The sequence below is a fragment of the Homo sapiens genome, chromosome 21, assembly GCF_000001405.40.
Source record: "Homo sapiens chromosome 21, GRCh38.p14 Primary Assembly".
NCBI lineage: Eukaryota > Metazoa > Chordata > Mammalia > Primates > Hominidae > Homo > Homo sapiens.
Window position 1 is genome coordinate 20,821,922 of NC_000021.9, and position 8,935 is coordinate 20,830,856.

General features: G+C 37.0%; 1 pseudogene, besides 1 other annotated feature; it reads right to left on the bottom strand.

Moving 5' to 3' along the window:
• Positions 737–937: a silencer, noted in NCBI's record as "peak4376 fragment used in MPRA reporter construct". NCBI's record gives its function as "represses an SCP1 promoter by STARR-seq MPRAs in K562 erythroleukemia cells {active_cell/tissue: K562}" and the evidence as "EXISTENCE:reporter gene assay evidence [ECO:0000049][PMID:32103011]".
• Positions 5,997–6,743, bottom strand: PPIAP1 (peptidylprolyl isomerase A pseudogene 1; annotated as a pseudogene).

The following is an 8,935-nucleotide window of genomic DNA, read 5'->3' on the forward strand; positions in this document are numbered from 1 at the left end:
AGCATTTGTGCACATACCTGGCCTCTTGGAAAGCGTATGCTTACATGTCCTAATGACTCCCTTAATTATGATTACACTTGTAAACCGTAACTCTCCATGTTGCATTTTCTATACTCTTTTACAATCTACATTCCCAATTTAAGCTTTTAGTATTTATTTAAACACGTTTTTATGTTATTCTAGGACGGGGAATATTTTACGTATCTTTATACTCCCACCCAATGCCCGTTCCCACTGTAACCCCAAACATACAGTGCACATATTCAACATTTAGTAAATATTTGTTTCCATTTACAGACTAAATGACAGTTCCTTTTTATTGTCTTTTTTCCTGTGCTGTTTTCTTTACCTTTCTCTCGTTCCATCACAGTAATTAATATTTTTTAATATAAATGCCATATTGAAGCAATGCAAATAACTTTGGGCTCTAAGAAGCAAGAGTCCTAATTATTAATGTGAAAGTTTCATAAGCAGGAAGTGACAGGAGTACATTCCCCTTATCAAACAGGGCTGGGATTACAACCAGCAGTTTCCAGCTCATCTTGTTCACATTTGCATTTTCATTACATGACTCTGGAAATCTGGTAAGAATAAGTTATTATTCATTTCTTTCCCTTCATTCGTATGTTCACTCAATACGGTTATGCATGCATCTCTATTAAGCTTTGCATTTGAAACCAACTGTCCCCTGTAAAAGCTCAAGTGGACAGACATTCCCCCAACAAATACATTTTATGAAAAGATCAATGTCCTATTATGCTCTACAGAGAAGAAATATCTAAGCACATTCTCGTTTTTAACAAGCAGTGGGAAAATTACAAACTAAATCAATATGTCCAACAGAATGCCTGCTCATTTACCACTGACTCAGGCTATTCCTGGAGATTCTTCTGCAGCTGTCTTTTTTCTACATTTTGTTTTCGGAACTGACACATGGAAACTTGAGGACTGAAATACTAAGACTTCAAAGCTCCCACTCTGTGTGGGCAACATCTTTCACTGGCAGCAGGGATGACACAAACACTTTCATCATTGGGCTGAATAATAAGCCTTCCTCCAGGGGGTAACTCTATGGAGAAAGCTCCCTGCACCCATTATGTCAGACTACAATTGAGCAACTTGAGGAATGCTGGCCCACTGGCACATACGATATTTGTATATTTTGCAGGCTTTTGTCCCAGTGATTATCGTAAGGCTATATTTTGAGGTTAAAAAAATAGTCATTGAAATTTCTGTTCTGGGCATTTAAAAAATACTCTGAGTTCTACAAAATGAAATTATTGTTTTGTGCTAAAATATGACTCTTAATTTAGATTTTCCTACAGAGACTATTACAACCATAGAAAAATTAAAACTATTTCTCAAGCCTTTGAAGCCAAAATATTCAGTTTTTTTTCTTTCAAAAGCATCAGTTTGGTGAAAAACCGATTTTTTAAAATCCAAATACAACAACAAAAAGCATGCACCACTGCTCGTAAACATTTATGTTTATATCACAAATGGCAATTAGGGTAATAAGAATTTCTGAGTTGTTATATTGTGTTCACATTTTTGGATTATACAAATATAGGTACTGCTTTTAAAGAACTGCATTCAAATATATTATTCACAAAATTTCTCAGTAATGTAGCTTTCTATGGACATGGTAAATGCTTTCATTTAAACATTTTGCAGTCTATTTGTAACATTACAATCTTTTACGTAAACCTAAGTCTCCAAGGCAATGGTTTCTGCTACCTTCTTGCCACGTAAGCCAATTGCCTGCAAACTCATTGTACCTTTGATTCAGGATTGAAATATAACCTTGAATTGCAAGACACAGTCAATCTCCCTGTGGCAGGTAGAGGCTTAGCCCTTGTTACACAAGTCTACCTAAAAAGCTCCCTTACAGATTCATTACTTGAATTATTTTTTTTTAATATGAAAGAAAATCACAAATGGTTCTGGAAGTTCTGTGGCTTGTCTTCCGCAGCAAATACAAAGCTTTTCTAAGACTACCAAGAGATGAGAAGAGTGTCTGTAATTCTAGTATTATGTAAACATTTGATATGCTAAGGAATTTCCATTTAAAAAACCATAGAACCATTTAAACACCCTATCAAATTGGAAAACCTTTTGGAAACAGTTACTACAGAAAAATAATGCATGGAAGTGAAGTCACTCACCACCTAGAATGAATAAATTAGTATTTATGTAAAGATGTGATGTAAAATACAAAGTTAAAAAATAATAATTCACGTATTTTGGCTGTTGGATCTGAGTTAAATGTGACATAACTGGGATTGAATTAATGCAGAGAATGAGTTTGTGGTTGCCATAAGCAGTAGTAACAGTAATCTTTTTTTTTTTTTGAGAAAGGTCTTTCTCTGTCTCCCAGGCTGGAGTACAGTGGCACAATCACAGCTCACTGCAGCTTCAACCCTGCCTGGTAGCTGCCAAGGGTAAACTTCCCTTTTACCTCCTGAATTTTTGCGAAAAATCAATTCACAAAGGCAGAATAATAGAAGAAAAGGCATTCAAATGTATTAGCATGCCTGGGGGTGGGTGTGGGAGGGAATTACAGAGTGATTTTCCCACCATGCAATAGGAAACCAATGGTTATATAGCCTCCTTCTTAGAGAATAAGAGATGGAGAAGTACGGATGATTTTAGGGGGTAGTAAATAATTTTCAGGGGAATTCAATGGGCTTAAACAACATACAGTGATGTGGGATAAAGTCTGTTGAGCTCCTGGGCAGACAACGGTTTGTAACAAAAGTCTGTCTGGATGTGTTGACAGACTTGAGTCTTTCTTCCCACCGTATGATTTCGGTTAATGAAAATTCAGGGAAGATACCAGAGGTAATTGTTTTCTTATTTAGTAAGTCCAAATTTTAGGCAGATAAGGGAACTTCAGATAACAATTTGATCCTGTGATTTGGGAGACACAGAAGATTGAGAGCCAGGAAGTGTGTTGTGGGCAGAGAGATACTGAATCTTTTTCTGTTGAGCATGTCAAATAACCCCATTTTGGGGTATCGGTTTTTGAACCCTAACACTAAAAATGGAAACTTATTTGAAAATAGGGTCTTTGCTTTCCTCTTCAGATATGATTAGTTAAAGATCTCAAGATGATATCATACTGGATTTAGGTTTATCCCTAAAGTCAAAGTTGCTGTCAACCACCAGATGCCAGGAGAGAGAGAGGCTTGGAATGGTTTCTCCCTCAGAGACTCCAGAAGGAACCAACCTTGCCAACAATTTACTTTCAGACTTCCAGCCTTCTGAACTGTGAGAAAACGCATTTCCTTTTTCTTAAGCGATCTAGTTTGTGGTAATGTTTTGATGGAAGCCCTAGGAAACTAATACAGCATGTAAGTAAGGTGAAAGTTAGTAAGAACTATATTAGTCGGTTCTCATGCTGCTATAAAGAACTGCCCAAGGCTGGGTAATTTATAAAGAAAAGATGTTTAATTGGTTCACAGTTCCACATTGCTAGGGAGGCCTCAGGAAACTTACAGTCATGGACGAAGGCATAGGAGAAGCAGGCACCTTCTTCACAGGGTAGCAGAATGGAGTGGGTGTCGAAGGAAGGGGAAAGCCCCTTATAAAATCATCACATCTCTTGACAACTCACTCACTATCACAAGAACAGCATGGGGGATTCTGATAATTCTGATACAGTTATCTCCACCTGGTCCTGCCCTTGACACTCAGGGATTACTGGAACTACAATTCAAGATGAAATTTGGGTGGGGACACAGCCTAGGTCCCCCGAGGGACCTAGGTAATTATAATTAAAGAACCTAGGTAATTATAAAGAAATAAAGTTAAATATTACAAAAATAGAGCTGTTTATAATGAACATCAAAATCTGTGATTTAATAAGGCAGTAATGTTTTATTTGTGTTTATTTTATATTTTTAAGTATTCAACGCTAGGAGTATATTTCTTAATTAAGGTTTTTAAGTGCAAGAACTATATGTTATTCCAAGCATAAACTATGATGTTTGTTGATATATTTTCATAGGTTCATAGAATTTTTGAGTAGTAAGGCACTTTTTAGTTATCTCTCCTGAACTCTTAATTTTGGAGAAAGTTCTGTGACTTATTTCAAAATTACACATCTAGACAGAGTACCTGGTTATGAATCCTTACCCTCAATTTCCAGTACCATAACCACATCATCAATTAAAATAAGCCTGAAAAATTATTAAATTCTAGTTAGTAGGTAATAACTCTGGTTCTGGTTGTAGTTATATACTAGGAAACAGCATTTGATTTTTTACTTTGGGAAAAATAAGGTTCATTGGATATTTTTAAATTTCAGTGTATATTAGTCCAGTCTCATGCTGCTAATAAAGGCATAACTGAGACTGGGTAATTTATATAGGAAAGAGGTTTAATTGACTCACAGTTCAGTATGGCTGGGGAAGCCTCAGGAAACTTATAATCATGGTGGAAGGGGAAGCAAACACGTCCTTCTTCACATAGTAGCAGCAAAGAAAAGTGCAGGGTGAAGCGCGGTTGGGGGAAGCCCCTTATAAAACCATCAGATCTTGTGAGAACTCACTATCACAAGAAAATGATGAAGGTAACCGCCCCCATGATTCAATTACCTCCCACTGGGTCCCTCCCACAATAATGGGGATTATGGGAACTACAATTCAAAGATAAGATTTGGGCGGGACACAGCCCAATAATATCACAGTGTTTTGTTCCTTTTTCTCTTTTTTTCTCTCTCCCTTGCCTTCTTTCTCTCTTCCATTTAAAAATTTTTTTCTTTCTACTTCATAGGAACAGCATTTTCCATATATATATATATATATATATATATATATATATATTTTTTTTTTTTTTTTTTTGAGACGGGAGTCTTGCTCTTTCACCCAGGCTGGAGTGCAGTGGCGCGATCTCGGCTCACTGCAAGCTCCGCCTCCCGGGTTCACGCCATTCTCCTGCCTCAGCCTCCCAAGTAGCTGGGACTACAGGCACCCGCCACCACGCCTGGCTAATTTTTTGTATTTTTAGTAGAGACGGGGCTTCACCGTGTTAGCCAGGATGGTCTCGATCTCCTGACCTCGTGATCTGCCCGCCTCAGCCTCCCAAAGTGTTGGGATTACAGGCGTGAGCCACCGTGCCCAGCCCATTTTCCACATTTTTTTAGAACTGTTGAGACTATTATGTTAGTTTGCCTGCTCAGTGGCCCCTTAATCAAAGAGTCTTAGGCAGAGTAAAGAAAGATCAGGAGGTAGTAAAATTACAGGCACAACAACAGATTTGATGGCTACCAATGAGCATAAAGTCTGAACTACACTAGATGTTTTTGCAACCTGATAGACAGTAGTCTGAAGAGGCACAACATCTCAGTTCTACAGACAAAACACTATGGACATTACCCAGGTTTCCAATATCACTCTGTATAAGTCTGTTCTCATGCTGCTGATAGAGACATACCCGAGACTGGGTAATCTATAATGAAAAAAAGGTTTAATGTGCTCACAGTTCCATGTGGCTGGGGAGGCCTCACAATCATGGTGGAAGGAGAAAGGCATGTCTTATGTGGCAGCAGGCAAGAGAGAATGAGAATAAAGAGAAACGGTTTCCCCTTATAAAACCATTAGATCTCATGAGACTTATTCACTACCACGAGAACAGTATGGAGGAAACCTCCCCCATGATTCAATTGTATTTCACTGGGTCCCACCAACAACACATGGGAATTCTGGGAGCTACAATTCAAGATGAGATTTGGGTGGGAACACAGCCAAACCATATCACACTCAAATTGAAAACATGTATATATCAGTTTTCTAGAGAATTATTTTTTGTAATGGCTATGCAAAATACACTCTGCTAATTAAGTTTAAATAGGCCCAACCAAATGTGATTCTGCCCTCCTTCCTCAACCCCATCAGTAAAGAGAAGGAAAGATATTGATGGTCTTCACTGATATGTAATTTTTATGTATTTTTATCTACGAGAATATGCATTCTTTTTGTAGTAATTCTTTTTTGTTGTTATTTAGTTTTTATTTTATAATCATAAACTTAACTCTACAATCCAGCTAGGCATGAAAGGGAACAAGGAAAACATGGAACCCAAAGGGAACTGCAGCAAGAGCACAAAGATGATGGGATACTGTGAGCAAGTGGGGTAGAGGGGTGCTCTCCTGAGCAACAGAAGGAATGGTCTGGTGGTGAAGATAAAACACAAGTCAAACCTATTAGAGTTGTCCACAGTCAGCAATGGTGATCTTCTTGCTGGTCTTGCCATTTGTGGACCCAAAGCACTCCATGGCTTCCACAATACTCACGCCTTCCTTCCCTTGCCAAAGACCACCTGCATGCCATCCAACCACTCAGACATGGCAGTGCAGATGAAAAACTGGGAACCATTTGTGTTGGGTCCAGCACATTCTCCACGGACAAGATGCCAGGACCTGTATAATTTAGGACGAAGTTCTCATCATCAAATTTCTTCCCGTAGATGGACTTGCCACCAGTGCCATTATGCTGTGTGAAGTCACCACCCTGACACATAAACCCAGGAACAATTCTGTGAAAGTAGGAACCTTTATAACCAAATCCTTTCTCTCCAATGATTAGAGCACAAAAATTTTCTGCTGTCTTTGGAATCTTGTCTGCAAACAGCTCAAAGGAGACACGTCCCAAGAGCTCACCATCCACGATGATGTCTAAGAACCTGGTGGGGTTGACCATGGCTGATAGAACGGGGCTCCTGGCAGCGGTGGCATCTGCAAAGCCATAGTAATTCTTTTAATTTGTTGGCAATAATTAAGTAAAGTTAAATTTGGCATTACTTATGTTTTATATGAGAAAACAGAAGCAAAGTTAGGAAGGTCATTTACGTTATTTTTTTGAGATTTTCTAGTCACCATATTTATGGATTGTTTTGCTGTTAATTCAGTCTAAAATACGCTTTGTAGCTTTTTTATTCACCATATTATATGGAAAGTACATTGACTACTGTTTCAAATTAATCACTAAGATTTTAGAAAACAGATTGTTGTATGAACAATATTCACATTTAATATTTTACATAAGCCTCATTTTGTCTAAAAGCTGATAAGTAGGAAAGTTATAATTAGAACATTACAAAATACTATCTTAAAATTCAGGTTGAGCTGTCCTTTGAATTCATCTCCACAATATCTGCATACATTCATTAACTTCAGATGTAATTGGAAGGCACATAATTAATGCAATGGTTCTGAATGTTTATCAAATTACCACCAATCATCACGGTTTCTTGATGATGCTCGGCAACAGGGTGCATGGACATCAGTAAAATTCTAATTATGAATTACTAATTGTAATGACTCCACCAGGCCTAAAATACAGCATCACTGTTTAAATTAAATTAAGTTAGTTTTATTGACTTCATTATTGAAGGATGAGCTGTTTCAAGCAGTAAAATTTTGAACTGACATTTTAAATGATTTCTACTGTTATAATGAATGTCAATTCTTCTCAAAGAGGGTACAACAAACAGAAAGATGCTGAGGATAATAGGTCACACGAATTAACACATGCTTGCTTATCAGATGCCGGGAAGAGAAAGGAGTGTTAAAATATATTCACCCATTTTTATTTCAGCTGTTCATTTTAAAAAGAAGAAGCATAAAAATATAGAAGCAATGACCTACCATGAATTTCTAGACAAACCTTGTTTACATTCCATGAATGTAAATATACATAACATTTATTAAAACAGCAACAAAGACTACCACCCATTCTGTATTGTTTTCGCGTACAGCACTGTTATGCTGAGTCTGCATCTCTCCAAGTTTGAATTCCTCTGCTCTCCATCAGCGAAGCGATCATTCTCTAGTAAGTCTTTTCATATTATAAACTCTAGAAGAGTAATCTTTTAATCAATTAAATTATGAATTTAAGGAACAACTCAAAATTAATTAATTTCAGACCCCATCATATTGAAACTTGCCTCAGAAACACAGGCAAACCCAAATTGTTTCCAACTTCAAACTATTACTTTTAGTTGGAAACACATGTTAATTGTTTAGGTATACCAAAATTAACATCTTAATTATATTTTTCACATTCTTTCTGACAAGTAGAGTACATGTGCCATAGAAGATACTGCCTGTATTAGCAAATACCTTCTGTCTGATATTCACATACTCAGCTCACTTCAGAGGTGATTTATTCATGTGATCTCCAGCTATGAAGCTTTGGGTAAAAATAAGAACAAAACAAACAAACAAGAAATAACTTCAGTACTGATCAGCCTTCGTGGTTTTATTCTTGGAAGTTTCACCACTGTGAAATTTAAGTAAATATTTTCTAGACCTTGTAAAGTTGAAAAAGGCCTCCTAGTTTATATGAAATATGCCCTCCTTCCTCATCTAAATAGTTTTCACTTTGCAACAAAGCTACCGTATTTACCGACTGTATGTGTTCTTAGTGGTAAAATCAGTCTAAAAATAACAATGTTTTATCTTTCAGATTGAAGTAATCTACCCCTAAAGCTGAACCCATTAGAATTCTGGATCATAATCTTGGTGATTTCTTAAAGCTTCATTGCAAATTTTCCATGGCAGCAATTTTGACTATAATAAATGCCAGCTGCTATCGTCTTTAAAAGCATAAAATGCTTCAACTTCTCAAACAGCATGTATCTTTTAAAATCTACATTACCCTATTTGCTAATTTGTTACTTCTCTCTTTTGTTGCATCATATTGAGAGAGGAAGGGAGCTTAAATATTCCAAACACAATTGATATCATCATCCTCTGGCCCTGCTTTTTCTTTTCTCCTTTGTTCACAGAAGGCAATGGATAAACCCATGTCTATATCACAATTCCAAAGTAGCCAACTCATCATTGACTCTCGTGGTTCTCTCAACAAGTATCATTCCTTACCAGTCCTTGTGTTGCTAAGCTTCTAGCTATTATTTCTTCTGATTTTTTTTC